Source organism: Homo sapiens, chromosome 8, assembly GCF_000001405.40.
Source record: "Homo sapiens chromosome 8, GRCh38.p14 Primary Assembly".
Classification (NCBI taxonomy): domain Eukaryota; kingdom Metazoa; phylum Chordata; class Mammalia; order Primates; family Hominidae; genus Homo; species Homo sapiens.
The window spans coordinates 125,045,293-125,062,601 of NC_000008.11; the positions used below are offsets into that span (position 1 = coordinate 125,045,293).

At 39.6% G+C, this 17,309-nt stretch overlaps 1 protein-coding gene across 5 annotated transcripts in view; it reads right to left on the bottom strand.

Moving 5' to 3' along the window:
• WASHC5 (WASH complex subunit 5) overlaps nucleotides 1-17,309 on the bottom strand; it is a 67,533-nt gene that overhangs the window by 21,033 nt on the left and 29,191 nt on the right. For all 5 annotated transcript variants that reach the window (NM_001330609.2, NM_014846.4, XM_047422502.1 and 2 more), the window contains 9 exons: nucleotides 15,790-15,902; nucleotides 14,084-14,250; nucleotides 13,930-14,005; nucleotides 12,264-12,374; nucleotides 11,385-11,525; nucleotides 10,299-10,379; nucleotides 5,272-5,373; nucleotides 3,714-3,893; nucleotides 1,915-2,039 (listed from right to left, as the gene is read on the bottom strand). In NM_001330609.2, the coding sequence (NP_001317538.1) occupies nucleotides 1,915-2,039; nucleotides 3,714-3,893; nucleotides 5,272-5,373; nucleotides 10,299-10,379; nucleotides 11,385-11,525; nucleotides 12,264-12,374; nucleotides 13,930-14,005; nucleotides 14,084-14,250; nucleotides 15,790-15,902 (1,096 nt within the window). The remainder of the gene's footprint in view (nucleotides 1-1,914; nucleotides 2,040-3,713; nucleotides 3,894-5,271; nucleotides 5,374-10,298; nucleotides 10,380-11,384; nucleotides 11,526-12,263; nucleotides 12,375-13,929; nucleotides 14,006-14,083; nucleotides 14,251-15,789; nucleotides 15,903-17,309) is intronic.

Consider the following 17,309-nt stretch of genomic DNA (forward strand, 5'->3'; position numbering starts at 1 on the left):
ATTGTGCACCAGGTGCTGTGTGTGCTAAGACCTTTCCATGTGCTATTTCATCCTCATAATAGCTCTGTGGAATACAAACCATTTCATCCTCATTTTATAGATAATTGAGGCTCTCATAGGTCTGACCACCACCCTTAACCACCATTTCAATGGTTTTCAAACACTGAGAGAGGGACCCTGAGTCCCTGGTAGAGCTTGTCTGAAATACAGATGCCCAGCTTCCATTCCTGACGAATCTGATTTAATAGTTCTGGGGGAGAGCTCTGGCCTTTGCATTTTCAGCAAGCTCCACAGATGACATATCCTATTGTCCAAAGCCACCACATACCTTTACCAGAAGGAGGCGTGAGAAGGGGTTGAAAGAGCCTAGAAGCAAGGGAGGTTTTAAATCAGGAAGTAAATAGGGAGAACAAAACAAGAGGATTCCCAAACTGCTTACAACTTCCATCTGCTTGCTTCAAAGACTCCTTCTGCCACCAAGTACACTCTGATGTGTCACTGGGGAGGCCCCCAATTCTGATGATAAAATTCATATATGATGTGGAAATTCTGGTCACACTTAATCCTCTCTGCCTGCACTAATAGGGCACTGGGTGGATAGTTTTCTAAAAAGGCTTCGGTGATTGAAGGCTACCAAGAAAGAAGGAGCTATACAACTTTTTGAATCACTTACTTTTTTTGTCCCATGAGTCAAAATTCCTTATTTCTGCTAGAAATTTTGGAATAAGGTTATGCATAGTTTCTCAACTTTCACAAGTTTCGAAGGACAAAATACTGGATTAGAAAGAAGACAGCACAAAGGATCCAGGTCCTAAGAAGATTTAACTCACACAAGATCAACTACACGTGCCTGGGTGGTCAGAGAACAAAGATCATCGCTTTTTTCCTGGGTAATTCCACCAACCCTTCTGCTCAGTGAGCCTGTGCCCAGGGGTGGACATGAGAACCTGCTCTTCCCCAAGCTGATCTTAGTACCAACAGCTTCTCCTGAGGCTCAAATGAAGAAAAAGGAGGAAAACTGGCTCAGCTGGACTTACTAGAGGCAGCATGCTAGTCTCTGCCGTGGTGCTCACCTAAAATATTCTCAGGAGCAGTTTTAATTAAATGAGATTTTCACCCAGTTACTGCTGAACGTAGAGCCCACATAACCCGTATGTAGACTGTGATTGGCTGTATACAAAGCTATGCAGTCTGCCTTTCACAGTACAATGCCTAGGAGCTGGGCTCTGGAGTCAGAGGGCCTGGAGTGTATTCTGGGTCCGTCATTTATTAACTGTGTGATGCTGGGCAAATGACTAAGCTTTTCTGTGCTTCAGTTACTTCATCTTTAAAATGGGAATAAGAATAATGCCTATAAGATTGCTGTAAATGGGTTAATGACTGGATGTGTATAATGTGCTGAGAAGAGTGCATAGATAAGTGTTCAATAAATATTAGTTGTTGCTATCAAAAGTGCTTGTGTGTTGAGCTAAGAATCGTTTTGTGGAGACAGGGGGGCGGGGGAGAGATTAGATTCTTCTAAGGAGCGCACAACCTAGATCCCTCACATGCAAAGTTCACGCTCCTATGAGAATCTAATGCTCCTATGAGAATCTAGTACTTTGGGAGAATCTAGCACGCTCCTATGAGAATCTAGCACTTTGGGAGGCCACTGATCTGACAGGAAGTGGAGCTCAGGTGGTAATGCTTGCTTGCCCATCGCTCACCTCTTGCTGTGCGGTCAGGTTCCTCACGAGTGACAGACCGGTATCAGTCTGCAGCGCAGGGGTTAGGGACCCTTGCCCTAAAGGGTCAGAATATGAGTTGACAAGTGCAGGACCCCCGTGACTGGAATAGGGGCTGTGCCACAGGGCCACAGATGCAGATGAGACTGCCTGCAGTATTCAGGGCTCTGTAGAATTCAGGTACACCTACTTTGGGTCTGTGATCCGCAGGATTTCTCTGCAGAGTCGACCAATAAACGTTACAGACTCATCCACAGGGGTAAACTTGGGTATTGGAATATGAGTGGACTGGTACATGCTTTGCCAATCTTGAATCTAGAAAACAAAACCATCAATATTTAGTAAACCTTTGATAAGATAACCTAGTTATCCCTTTTCCATATAATTTTACAAAGATAATATTGCATAAAGAGTGACAATAAAGGTTGTTTTTTTTTTTTAGATGGAGTCTCGCTCTGTCCCCCAGGCTGGAGTGCAGTGGCATGATCTTGGCTCACTGCAACCTCCACCACCCGGGTGCAAGCGATTCTTTTGCCTCAGCCTCCTGAGTAGCTGGGATTACAGGCACCCGCCACCATGCCCGGCTAATTTTTGTATTTTTAGTAGAGATGGGGTTTCACCATGTTGGCTAGGCTGATCTCGAACTCCTGATCTCAAGTGATCCTCCCACCTTGGCCTCCCAAAGTGCTGGGATTATAGGCGTGTGCCAGGTCTGGCTAATTTTTGTGTTTTTAGTAGAGACAGGCTGGTCTCAAACACTTGACCTCAGGTGATCCACCTGCCTCGGCCTTTCAAAGCACTGGGATTACAGGTGTGAGTCACTGTGCCTGGCTTGGTTTTTTATTTTAGAGACAGGATCTTGCTCTGTTGCCCAGGCTGGAGTGCCGTGGTGTGATCACAGCTTGTTGCAGCCTCAACCTCCTGGGCTCAAGCAATCCTCCCACCTGAGCCTCCAAGTAGCTGGGACTACAGGCATGAGCTACTGTACCTGGCCTGTTTCTTGGTTTTGAAGAGGAAACTTCTAAAACTGCATTAATAATAGTCTCCCAGAAATACCACATATAACATTTATAAAAAACAAAGAAACATTGTGAAAAGGTGAGGTGACAAACGAGAAGCGAGAACTAAGATGAGACATGGGAACTTCGGCTTTCTGTCTTATGAGTTGACATGCATCCATGTAATATAAAAATCCAAAATATCATAAGGCTGGAATAGACTTAAACTTTTGAAAATGTCACCCAAATCATGTCAGTTCCCACATGAAAACTTGCAGAGTGGCTCCTTGTTAACTACTTACTAAAATCAAACTTCTCAATTTTGGCACTTATGCATTTGGTATTCTTTTTTTACCCAATTAAAGAAATAGGCAAAGGACTTTTATGCACATTTTTCCAAAGAAGACATACAAATGGCCAATAAGCTGTTCAACATCATTGGCATTAGAGAAATGCAAATCAAAACCATGATGAGATACCTTCATGTGCACTAGGGTGACTATAATTTTAAAAAATTGAAAATAACAAGCATTGGTTAGGACGTGGAGAAACTGGAACCCTCGTACACTGCTGTTGGGCACATAAAATGGTGCCGTTACCGTGGAACACAGTTTGGCAGTTCCTCAAGAAGTTAAGCATAGAACTACCCATTATAGGTCCTAGTAATTCCACTCCTCAGTATGTACCCTGCTGAACACAAACAAAGGAGTCCTAAAAGTCTTTTGAACTGTTAATCACTTGGGTTATAACAATTACAACAAACAGCTTCATTCTGTAGCCATTTAATGATGTCTGCCTTCTTAGGACAGTGAGCTCCCGGAAGTTACATGCCATGTCCACTTTTCTGCAACCCTCCTGGCTCCTGAAAGTACTCTGAAGGTACTGAGACTATCTAGTAAACTTTCTTGTTGACATTTCTGAGGTTTGGGATGTGTACTCTAAACATGAGAAATAACAAATATAGTCAAGAATTTTAAAATTTATTAGATACCTTCGTTCTTAGAAAGTTATTACACTCTTGCTCCACGTTGTAATTTATGATACGAGATACTTCTTCCTGCCAAATCTTCAGACCATAAATGTTGACATAGTCCTGTATGTATTCAAAAGAACGATGGAATCCATCCATGGTCGCTCCCAACTCTTTCAGCTTGGGCATCAATTCACTTGGCTGTGGAAAAGGGGAAACATAAAGCTCTTACACTGGAGTAGATTGTCAACTATTCGTTCTAATATCTAACTAGACTTTAAATAGTATAGCAGGCCAGATGCGGTGGCTCCCACCTGTAACCCCAGCACTTTGGGAGGCTTAGGCAGGAAGATCACTTGAGGTCAGGAGTTCAAGACCAGCCTGGCCAACGTTGCGAAACCCTGACTCTACTAAAAAAATATAAAAAGTAGCCAGGTGTGGTGTGTACCTGTAATCCCAGCTACTTGGGAGGCTGAGGCAGGGAACTGCTTGAACCTGGGAGGCGGAGGCTGCAGTGAGCTGAGATTGTGCCACTGCACTCCAGCCTGGGAGACAGAGCAAGACTTAATCTTAAAAAAATAAAAAATAAGCCAGGCTCATGCCTGTAATCTCGGCACTCTGGGAGGCTGAGATGGGTGGATCACTTGAGGTCAGGAGTTCAAGACCAGCCTGGCCAACGTGATGAAACCCCATCAAAAATACAAAAATTAGCCGGATATGATGGCAGGCACCTATAATCCCAGCTACTTAGGAGGCTGAGGCACAAGAATCGCTTGAACCCAGGAGGCAGAGGTTGCAGTGAATCGAGATTGTGCCACTGCACTCCAGCCTGGGAGACAGAGCAAGACTTTGTCTCAATCAATCAATCAGTCAATAGTACAGCAGCTAAGAGACCACAGTCATAGTTTAAGATATACTTTAAGTTTTGGAATACTCATTTCCTACTTCATCTAGGATGACTGACAACTGATGTCAGACATTCAGCAAATAAATGATTTCACTCATTTGGGAAGGAAGCCTCATATAAAGAAATAAAAAAAAAGAATGACTGTGATTTCTCTGTCATTTAATAAATCTATCTAGTCTCAGAATACTTAAAACATTTTAAATTGAATTTACTATGATAATAAAGATCCTAAATAGAGATTTCAGGCCTATTATTTTTCTCCTGAGAAAAATGACCATATTCCCTAGCAGATAAAGCAAAATAAAAAATTATAACCTTTATAGTTCCTATCTACTTTAGGGTTACCAAATTCTTTTAACTATAAGAAGTACTTCTGAATCATAAAATCAGTTTAATTCTGAAATGGGATCAATAGGTGGAGGAAAGAAGCACTGGTTTTAAAAATATGAAGTTTTAAATATAAAATCTAAATTTCATATTTATACTATAAATTTATAATATGAATGGATTATAAGATCAAAAAGCACATCAGTTGTTTGTGTTGAAAATCACATATTTGATATACGTTAGCTAGGAGGTAAGGTCTTGTTCGCGATAGGTTAAAAATGGCATTCTAGTCCATGCTGCAAGCTGGGCGGAGAAGAGGACAGGCCCACTCTGGTCACTGGGTACCTTGGCTCGAGGGTTGAATATCAGTCCCCTATGCAGGGCAAAGGCAACGCGCTTCACAAGCTCTTTCCTTATTCCATCTTCCAGCAACTGCTTTGGATCCACCTAAGTGCCAATCAAAAGTATTAAATGATAGTTACGAAAAATTCAGTCCTAACGAAATCCAGAGGAAAGATGGCTTTCAGAATCTGCAGTGGGGCATTTTCCTACCTCCTCACTAAATGATTTGAATTTTTTCCTTTCCTGTCCCTGTGATCTTGCACAGCTTGGATGGAATTATTAAACCTGTCACCTTTTTAGGACTCTGTTTATTTCAGCAAAGTTCATGATGGTAATTTTACAACAAGACATTTCAAAGACGGTGAATAAGGAAAGTTTTAAATGGCCTCACATTCTAATTAATGGCCCCTCTTTTTGGAGTTTTAAATGGCCTCACATTCTCATTAATGGCCCCTCTTTTTGGAGGGGCAGGATGAAGGACCTATGACTGAATTTACAGATGCATGTTCTTCCTTTAGATTTTATTTCTAGGCACCTTATATCCACATGAGCAAACTCAGATTTGAGGTCGGGCCACTCTGTAAATTGAATAATTATCTTTTCTTTCAGCATTCTTGGAATTAGGGAGATAAAATAAGAAAGCAAATCTGCTATCTAACTCTACAAGCTTACTTTGCTAATTATTTCTCCTATAATGAAAAGGTTTTGTTATTCCTTTAAAAAGTCTCTTATCAGATCCATAAAACATCAAATGATTTTTACATACTCCCTTGAATTCTCTGAGACTTGTTTCTTTTACTTTTAATTTGTAAAGAACCATTATTTTAAAAGGTCATAAAGGCAATTAATGGGTTCCATCCAGTTTTGATTGTATTTAAATTTCAAATAAGACAACTGCAAGGGGGTTACAAAAACACAAAAGCCAGAGAAACACATTAAACTACGTCAAGATCGTTCAATCAGGGAAATCCAGACTGTGGAGCAACTGAAGGTGAAAGGCCCTATGTTCTTCAACAGATGAATTAAAGGGAAAGAAAGGAAGGAGGGCCGGGCGTGGTGACTCACGCCTGTAATCCCAGCTCTTTGGAAAGCTGAGGCAGGCGGATCACCCAAGGTCAGGAGTTCCAGACCAACCTGACCAACATGGAGAAACCCCGTCTCTACTAAAAATACAAAATTAGTCGGGCGTGGTGGCACATGCCTGTTGTCCCAGTTACTCAGGAGGCTGAGGCAGGAGAACTGCTTGAACTCGGGAGGAGGAGGTTGCGGTGAGCCTGCACCATTGTACTCCAGCCTGGGCAACAAGAGTGAAACTCTGTCTCAAAAAAAAAGACTTAAAAGACATAACATAGTTTTTCAAATGGGCAAATCTAAGCTATAGTCTGGAAATTAATGACATATAGTTTCACTGGATAATAAAACTATACACAGGAGGCCTGAGATGAGGTCAGGGTGCATGAGGGGGCTTTCAGGAGTGGGGCTCACTAAATCCTATTTCTTAAGTGGTAGTCAGAATGACTTGTGTTTACCTTGTAATAACCTAATAGGCTACATCATTCTTTCTTTAGTTTTCAGCATCTGTGCTTTATTATACAATAAAAAGGTAAATTATAAAGATATAGTCAATGAGTACAGAATCAAAGAAGTATCATGAAGCTTTCAAAGAAATATTCCTTACAAGAACAGATTTACTAAAAGAGTTCAATGCTTTCGTGAATCTAAAGATCGCATGCGGCTCTTCTAATCCTTCCCGCATTCTCACTAATCTGTGGAAGTGTTCACAGCTAAGAGAAAGCCATCTTCACACACCCCTTCCTCACATTTCTATTCCCTTCCCCTGAAGTTAACAACAGTAACTGTTTTCATATGGATCATCCAGACCTTTCTCCATTCGTTTATATACATAAATATCCATCCTTACACATATATTTAATTTCAAAAATCTAAATGGGATCATATACATGTATATGTACAGAGACACGCAAGTATATCACACACATATATTATACATATATACACATAGTTGCATGCATGTATATCACACACACTACACACACACACACACACACACACACACACATACATACATGTTTTTCTGCAATTTGCTTTTTTCATTTTCCACCTTGGAGATTTTCCAGTACTAAATTCTTTTTGAATCGCTCTAGACCAATCCACAGTACGAATGCACCATGGAATATTTAACCATTCCCCTACTGATGATGGATGTTTAGATTACAGATGCTCCTTGACTTAAGATGGGGTTACATTCCAATAAAATCGTCGTAAGTTGAAAATATCAGAAGTCAAAAATACACTGAATATACCTAATCTACCAAACATCATAGTTTAGCTTACCCTACTTCAAATGTGCTCAGAACACTTACATTAGCCTACAGTTGGGCAATATCATCCAACACAAAGCCTATTTTATAATAAAGTATTGAATATCTCATGTAATTTATTGAATACTATACTGAAAGTGAAAAACAGTATGGGTATCATATGAAGTTGAATCATTTTAAGTTTGAGACGACCTGTATTTCTTTTTTTTTTTTTTTGCTGCCTCTAACAATGAATGCTTATATCTCTGTGTATATCTCACTTGTTTTAAGTCAATATCAACCAAACTGAACCTACACTTTTTATAAGTGTTTGAAACACAACCTCAACACTCTGAGGTTAAAGATCAGCGAGGGCCACAGGATTACTTTTAAAAGCCCTTAGTTGTTATTGGTAGACTAGCAGAGAGAGTCTACTGGGTTGAATGTAGTTGGTCAGCAGAGTATTCCTTCTGCTGTTATAATCTGAAACACTGTGGGAAAAGATCAGTATTTTACCAAGCAGTCTTGGTAAAATTCTTTTGATAATTATTGTTAATTACCTGTAAGAGGTTTTATTACATCCTTCTTACAGTGGTCACTTTGCAGTCCTAGGATTTATCATCCTGTGTGTAAGAAGTGACTAAAATGCATGTACATTCTCTACACATCAATTGAATTCACCTGGGATCAGGCCTAAAGCATGTTTAGCAAATTCTATTAATATTCTAGGAAATACCATGGTATTTCCTTTAGCATACTTCCAGAAAACACATACCAAAGTTCCATTTAGGTACATTTCCTCTATTTTCTTTGATTTTAATAATGCAAATATTAATATGGCAATTAGGAATGTTGAGATTCTACTGATGTCAGATATATAGAAAAATAAAGAAAAGCACCATAAACTATATGAATGGGCCCATCGCTACTCACCATAACATTCCAAATTAAAAAAGCAATGAGATACTTTATACCTCTTGGGAGAACAAAATTAGAAAGTGGATAATATCAAGTATTGGTGAAGATATAAGCCGTTAAGTCCCAATGGCCTTCTGATATTTCCAACTTGTGATGAGTTTATTGGGATGTAACACCACTGTAAGTCAAGGAACATTTGTATCTCAACATCCATCAGTGGTGGAATAGTAAATACACCACGGTGCATTCGTACTATGGATTGGTCTGCGGCCACTTGAAAAGAATGTAGATTTCAGAGGAACTCTTGCACAGGTCTGGAGTGGGGATATGCTCAGAGACGTTCATCATGACATTGGTTGTGATAATGGGGGGCACAGGTGTCTGTCCCAAGCTGGATGGTTAAGAAAAATGTGGAATTCTATGCAGCAGTAAAAAGTAACCTACTATCTGACCTATAGCAATATAAATAAATTGCAAAAGCAATAACCAGTAAGAGAAGCTGGAAAAAGAATGAGACTTAGAGCACAATATGGTTGAGATAAATCAAAAGCACATGCACACATCAAATAATGCCATATGCTAAAAATAAGAATACTTGCATATGTAGGAACAATTACCAAATCCACAAAGTTGGTGCTATGGGTAATGGAAATGGAAGCAGGGATCCAGGAGAAGAAAAAAATAAACAAACAAAAGATGACAGGAGCTTGCATGCCCCAGTGATGATAGTGGTCTGTTAAAAGACGGATATGGGCCGGGCGTGGTGGCTCATGCCTGTAATCCCAGCACTTTGGGAGGCCGAGGCGGGCGGGTCACGAGGTCAGGAGATCAAGACCACGGTGAAACCCTGTCTCTAAAAAATACAAGAAATTAGCCGGGCATGGTGGTGGGCGCCTGTAGTCCCAGCTACTCGGGAGGCTGAGGCAGGAGAATGGTGTGAACCCGGGAGGTGGAGCCTGCAGGGAGCCGAGATTGCACCACTGCACTCTAGCCTGGATGACAGAACAAGACCCTTGTCTCAAAAAAAAAAAAGGGATATGATTATCTTAGCTCTCTGTACCTGGGGTGTGAAATAAAAGTACTAAAAATGAAGGAAGGAAAACAGAGAGAGAGAAGAATAAAGCAATTTTGACTAAGGAAATTGAATTTTTTTTTTTTTGCTTTTCCCAAAATTCAATCAAATATATTTTTCTTGGATTTAAACAACTCTTTGATAAAACAGTACTAGCACCACACATTTTCTGCAGAACTACAAGATAAAGAAATTCCCACTACCTTCAAGTACTAAGAGAAATAAAGATTACAATGCTTTCTCTTCCTCCATCAATAAGTGAGTAAAACGGGCTGGGCACCGTGGCTCATGCCTATAATCCCAGCACTTTGAAAGGCCACGACAGATGGATCACTTGAGGTCAGGAGTTTGAGACCAGCCTGGCCAACATGGTGAAACTCGTCTCTATTAAAAATACAAAAATTAGCTGGGTGTGGTGTTGTATGCCTGTAGTACCAACTACTTGGGGGGCTGAGGCATGAGAATCACTTGAACCCGGGAGGTGGAGGTTGCAGTGAGCCAAGATTGCACCACTGCACTCCAGCCTGGGCAACAGAGAGAGAGAGACTCTGTCTCAAAAAACTCAACTAAAATAAAATAAATGAGTAAAATGAAGACCGAAATTGGAATGTCAAACAGCCAGATGATGTCACTCCCTTTTGCACACATGATAATTACCACAAAAACCCAAACAGCTAAGAGTCATGGTGCGAGGCCACGCAGACTAACAAAACTGTTACCTTGATGATGCCAACCAAAGTCGTTTTCATCATTAAGATGCCTTCAGTAAAAATGGAAATAGCATGAGTAAGCTTGGCAACCTATAACAAAGAAAAAGAGGTATGAAAAATCACTGTCTAATAGTCCTGGAATGAACAAAGATAACAGGAAAAGAACTTGTAGCTTTAGGACACCTGTGTCCACATATTCTGGACAGAAATGAGGCTCTGTGGTACAACTGAAAGCCCACTGTTAGACATATTGGGTAACAGAGTCAGAAGACAACAGTTTATTCTTTCATGTTTGACAAAGCATTTCTCCTTTAGGCTTCATTTTCTCATGTCTAAAATTTGGGGCAGAATTCAATGATCTAGATGGGCCCTTTTGGCTAGAAAAGACTATGAGACTGAGAAGGTAACCTCCCCTTCCCTGGCCTCCCCATTATTTGCAAGCAATAGCAGCAGACATTGATAAGGTAGGCAGGTGCTAGCTATACTGTTGAATCAGAATAAACATGGAAATATCAAGCTTGATAATCTAAGTCCCTGACATATTTCTTGGACTTGTATCAGAATGGGAAATTGACACTGTACATCATATTTTCAATCTTCACTTGATTTTACTTTTGATGTCTTTAAATTCTAAGCTCAGGGAGAAAAAAACCAGAGGTGCTTGGGGAGAAGAACCTCTGAGGCTGCTGAACTATTATTGAGTGAGCTTAAAATCTGCCCAAAAGAAATGGTTAATGGAATATAGATTATTTTGAGCTGCTCAAAAAGGAACATGAATATGAAAAGTCAGGTCATCTAGCTCAAAGAGAACAAGGGCTGCTTTAGCAAGACTGTTATAGGAAAAAGTGACCAGCTAAGCCTCATTTCCCCTGAGAATACTGAGGCGAACAAGGCCTTAAGTGACACCAGGAAAATGTCAAGAATAAAAGGTGTGATTGTACTAAAATCATAAAACGCGTTTACCATTGCAAATGTGAGACAACAAGTCAGAATTGGTCTGGTGGTCCCCAGAATATGGCAGGTGACACAGGCCTGTGATATTTCATGACTGTTAGTTTTTAATATGAAAAGGCAGAAGTCAGAGGGACACAGCACCTCGTATCGTGGGCCTAGCTGAGCATAGTCCCTCAGCTTGTCTTTGTCCAGGCGGGTAGGCACTTCAATAATGTCGTGGGTCTGAAGCTTTATGATCTTTAGAAGAGATGTAAACATGCTTTCTGGGATGATCTGCAAAACCTTCAGTGAAAAGGAAAGCAGGAAACGCAATGAACATCTGTTTTACTTTTCTTGGCTGACAAATATTAGGATGCCTAATTTGTCTATATAGGGGGATGCTGAAAAATGTAAAAGAGCTGTTTTAATAACTGCTGGCAGGCACAGGGCTCCATTCCTTTAAACATTAATTGCTTACAGAATATAAAGCTAATCCTTCTAAAAATGCTGCAAAAGACTGTATCATTCCCATTTTACAGATTTTAAAAAGATCAAGGTTCAAAAATGTTAAGTAACATCACTATAGAGGACTGGCTAGAATGCGACACCAGTAAATTTTGAATTCAGGCTGGTCTGGCTCCATGCTCCATCAGAATTTATTAAAACGAGAATCAAAATTCCCATGAAAACCTGAACTGGGCTCTGACCGGGAGATGCTGGATCTAGATCAGGCTCTTTTACCAGATATGGCTCTGTGATTTTGAAGAAACTATTATAATCTCTGTTTCTACATCTATAAAATAGATGTGAATACCACCAACACTTAAAACACAGAAATAAAAGTTCCTGGCAAGTAAAAACATCTGTACATCCACAGTAGCAATAAGGGTAAGTTTATTTTTAGGTGTTGCAAATTTCTGGAATCAAATTTTTAAAAGGGAAAGAGACACGGATATACTTTTGGGGGGCCTAAGCATACTTTTTGTATTTAAAACAGCAGTTATCTGGCAAGAGTAAATATCACCCTGATGCATTTCTTACTTTTCTCACATAGGATACCAACTCTCCAGAATAGTACTGTGACACGCTGAGCAGGTCGGGGCTATTTGCCTGATTAATACGAAGAAGGGGCAGATCGAGGGCAGAGGCAAGCTGGAAGAAAAATAAGGTATATCTGTTTCTTGTTTCAAAAAGAGTCCTAGAAATCTTTCTTTCCAGAAAATGTAACATACAACAAAACATTTGGGTTTTACCCAACAGAGGGCATTAATAGTTTCTGACAATACAGTTTTTGAAAAACCCAAGTTAACTGTGATGGCAGTGGTTCTTAAACTGTGCTCCCTGGACCAGTAGCTTCCGCATGACCTGGGAACTTATTAGACATGCAAATTACTGGGCTCCACTCCACACTGACTTAGTCAGACACCCTGGGGGTGCGGCCCAGCAATCTGTGTTACAACCAGCCCCGCAGGTGATTCTGATGCATGCTCAAGTTTGAGAGCCACTGTGCCACAGAAAAGAGCTACTCCTGTGTGGAAATCAAGACGTTCTGATTGACGTTCTGATAGAATCTGATTGACAGATTCTACCGAATCTGTCCAATCTAATATGCCGTCAAGTGTAAGAAGTGCCATTATTTTATGTGCCATTCAGAAAAAAATTAAATGCTGACAACTAAACTATGATATGCCATCAATGATAAAACCCATCCCCAGTTACAGAAATGTTAAAATATGAAAAGAATTGTAGTAGCTAGGCGCAGTGGTGCATGCCTATAATTAAAGCTACTTGGGAGGCTAAGGCAGGAGGATCGCTTGAGCCTGGGAGTTTGAGACACAGCCTGGGCAACACAGTAAAACCCCATCCCCCTCACTCCCACGTCCCAAAAAAAGGTGCATCTCAGAATTGATGTACATGGTACATGGTAGCTCTGTCAGGAGACATTGAGTAGGCTGGGCGTGGGGGCTCACACCTGTAATCCCAGCACTTTGGGAGGCCAAGGCAGGAGGAACATTTGAGGTTAGGAATTCAAGACCAGCCTGGTCAACATGGTGAAACCCCATCTCTACTAAAAATAGTAAAAATTAGCTGGGCATGGTGGTGAACACCTGTAATTTCAACTACTTGGGAGGCTGAGGCAAGAGAATCGCTTGAACCCGGGAGGAGGAGCTGCACTCCAGCCTGGGAAACAAAGCGAGATTCCATCTCAAAAAAAAAAAGAAGAAGAAGAAGACACTGAGTAGACTCTTTGTTCATTTACCACGAACTGAAATTACCATGAGAGCAAGGACTGTGCCTGTTGTTCACCAATATTCCCTGTTACTGTAGATATTAGTACTAGTTTGTAGCAGAGGCTCAGTAATTTTTTGAATGAATAAGTAAAAGGACTTAATTCATGCCTAGGGAATAAAGGACACAAAGGACTCACATTTTTAGTACACAGATAAAACTTAAAAAAAAATCTATTCTTCACCTAAAAATAGTATTCCTGAAGACATTCCAACTTACATTAATTAAAACTTTAAATATTTCTGGAATCTTTGAAATTATGCTCTCGTGGAAAAACTGCTAACAATTTCAGTCTATAAAAATATTGAAATTATTTACCTTCCTAAAAGGATAAAATCCTGGGCTGAATTAATGAATGAGGTATGAATGAAGGCCAACTCTTTCCTAGCAACAGAGAATCTCACTGTTTTTTGCTTACCTTTAGGAAGGTAGCTCTGAGTTTAGTAACCATGGATGGATTTACCCTTATGCTTTCTTGCATGATGGATGTGAAACTGTAAAAAGAAAAGAAACGGTAAGAAGATGTTCCTAGGGCCTTTCATCTACAGCAAATGTCAGGCTGCCTACATTACCTGTCAATCAACTGCCAAGCGAAAGAAAGGTCCCCAACGATCTGCATTGTGATCAGAACCTCCTCTTTAATGTTAATGGTTCTGATCATTTGATGAAGAAACTTTCGAGTATCGGCAAGAAACTGACATACTTGCAGATTGGATTCCAACTGGTGGAATTCTTGAACCTGTGTTACAGAAATATACTTAATTTAAAAATCCTGAATGGACTCTATGGTGCTCATTTGTTCTTGAAAACACTTCAAATAAAGCACACTACTTCTGACAATTTCTTGATAAAGTTTTTATTTCAAATTATAAATTTCAGAAACGTGAGCCAAGCTATTAAAAAATGCACAAGTTTCTAGGATTAGAAAATGTTCCGCTGCTTATTGTGTATATCACAACCATGTGTTGGAATTTGTGTATTATTAAGTTCTTTTGATGCACTTTTAAAAACAAAACAATGATTCTACAATGTCTTGAAATTTTAATGTATATAACTGAAGATGCCTGGGTTATATGACAAAATAAATAAGGCAAATGATAAAAAGCATTTGAGATTTACAAAGTTGTTTACGATCATATTATAGACTAAAAAAATCCAAACAAGCAAAGTAGAAATAATACAAGTGTGCAATTGTTCTGGAATAAGAAACTTTGGTAGAATTATTTTACTGTGTTGCTGTTTATAGCGACCATCCTAAAAACCTTGCAGAAATAAGAAAAAGCCTGTAAGAAAATATTCCAAGTGAAAACAGTATTAATTATATCTCTAAAAATATATAATCATACCAATTGGATAGGGTTATAGATTATGAGTAAAAATGATGTTTTAAATAATAGAGTTGGCCGGGCACGGTGGCTCATGCCTGTAATCCCAGCACTCTGAGAGCCCGAGGCAGGTGGATCACCTGAGGTCAGGAGTTTGAGACCAACCTGGCTAACATGGTGAAACCCCGTCTCTACTAAAAATACAAAATTAGCTGGGCATGGTGGCAGGCGCCTGTAGTCCCAGCTACCCAGGAGGCTGAGGCAGGACAATCGCTGGAACCCAGGAGGCGGAGGTTGCAGTGAGCCAAGATTGTGCCCCTGCACTCCAGCCTGGGTGACAGAACTGGATTCCGTCTCAAAAAAAAAAAAAAGAGTTTATGATTATTTTTCTGCTGCTTTTAGTTATCATTTTAAATCTAGTTAAATACACAATTAAAATTTAAGAGTGGTGAGGTATAATTTTTTTGGTACAATCATTTTTGAGTTGAAAGAAAAACAATAAACTATTTTTTTCAGAAAAGAAAATATATCACTTATAAGCATATGACCATTATATAATTATTTTCATTTTTGTGTATTCCTTTCTGGTTTTTTCCCCCAAGGCACACACTTTTTTACAACCCTAAAAATGGTATACACATGCAATTTTGTTTTTGCTTTTACCTCCTTATCACAATTTGCCCAATGTTTCTATATTATTTTTATAATTATGTTTCTAAGATTACATGTTTCCTCAAGTTACAATATCGTAATTTTTGCTACCATTCTCTTCATACTAGTTATTTATTTCCCCAAATTTAGGACAGTATACGTTACAGGAAACATATTAATTCACATCGCTTTTACTTCTGATGAAATAGTCTCTCAGCTATATTTACAGGAACAGACTGCTGGGTGGGTCATAAGGTGTGATTCATGATCCAAGAACCTGCATTTAAAAAGCGTTTCCTTACCTCTTCCAAAGCTTGTATCAGTTGTACAGTTTTTCTGCCCGCAGCAGTAGAATCATCATAATTTAAAGACAATATTTGTTTTGAGATCTCTCTGAACCAAGCTTGAAGGTTTTCTAGTAATACAGAAATAAGAAAATACTGAAATCCTCGAATTCCTGTAGCTGTGGCTTTGAATTTAACTAAATAATCTTTTATAAATTCAGTTCTTCAGAGCTTTAACCGTGGGCCTAACACTAGGAATTTTCCAAACGACAAAAATGCCTGGAGCATGCGACATAGTAGAATAAACTTTCTACATAAATAGCTTAGTCTACAGCACTTGGCAGACAAATACTAAAGGCTCAAGTGCATGCTATAAAGTGTAGAGGTGGTGGTGGCAGTGGAGAAGAGTTGGAAAGGAACTGAAGGATGACCCTAGTTACCAGGGAGAATTTTCTGGAGAAGCGAGGAAAAGTAAAGATCAGATCATCGGAGAGATGAAGAAGGGAATTGTATCCAGATGAAAGGCAGACACAGGCAGAGGCTTCAGGGCAAGAATGACAAGAGCATATCTTGGAGGGCAAAGAAGAGACCAATATGACAGAAGTGTAAGGTGTGACTGGTGAGTCACAGGGATGTCTGAACAATGCAGGGGGTGCCATTTGCACTTAGGAACCGGCAGACATTTCATACAGTAGAGAAAGAGAAGGGTGTCCACATGCTCTGATTACCCTCAGTGTGTCAGGCAAAGTTCTAAGTATTTGATCTTCATAGCAATACAGGGAGGTGGAAATTGTTAGCCATTTCCCAGATAAAGAGGCTGATGCTCAGAGAGACTGAGAATGCTATACAGGGTGACACGGTGACTAAATGGCAGAGCCAGGATTTACAATTATCTGTCCAGGTTCAAAAACTCTGTGCTCTTTACCTCACCAAGTTGATCCCCTAAAGTTTTTTTTTTGTTTGTTTATCAATGGGGTGGTCCCACGTTATTAAAAGGCCTTAAAGACTTACGATCTAAGTTATTTCAAGAATTGGCATGACAAACACTCATTTTTGAAGATTTTTGTAGGGCTGAGGGGCAGCGATGGAGTAGTAGAAAGAGCATGAAATTTGGGGTCTGAGATGAGTGAGACCCAGGCTCTCCACCTTTGTACCTTCAGCAAATGATTACATTTTTAAGCCTCAGTTTCCTTATATATAAAATAAGGATTAAGATGTGTATCTTACAGGGTTGTAAGGATGAGAAAAAACTGTGAAAGTATGTCCTAAGCTGTAATTAAACTATACAGCTGGAAAAAAATGTAAAATTGTTATTTCATCTCTGAAACAAAGTTGGTATTTGTAAGGGCCTAAAAGACACTATCACAGAGATTAATGCACTAATTCTAGGCAGCTAACCGGGTCAGATTGTTACACGTGATTGTTTTGCAGGTCACAATATGATAACCATAATATTCATTCTAGACTTCAGGTTTCATATCACAATATGGTGACCTGCAAAACATGTTTCTAGTTTATATCACATCGTTATACGTTGG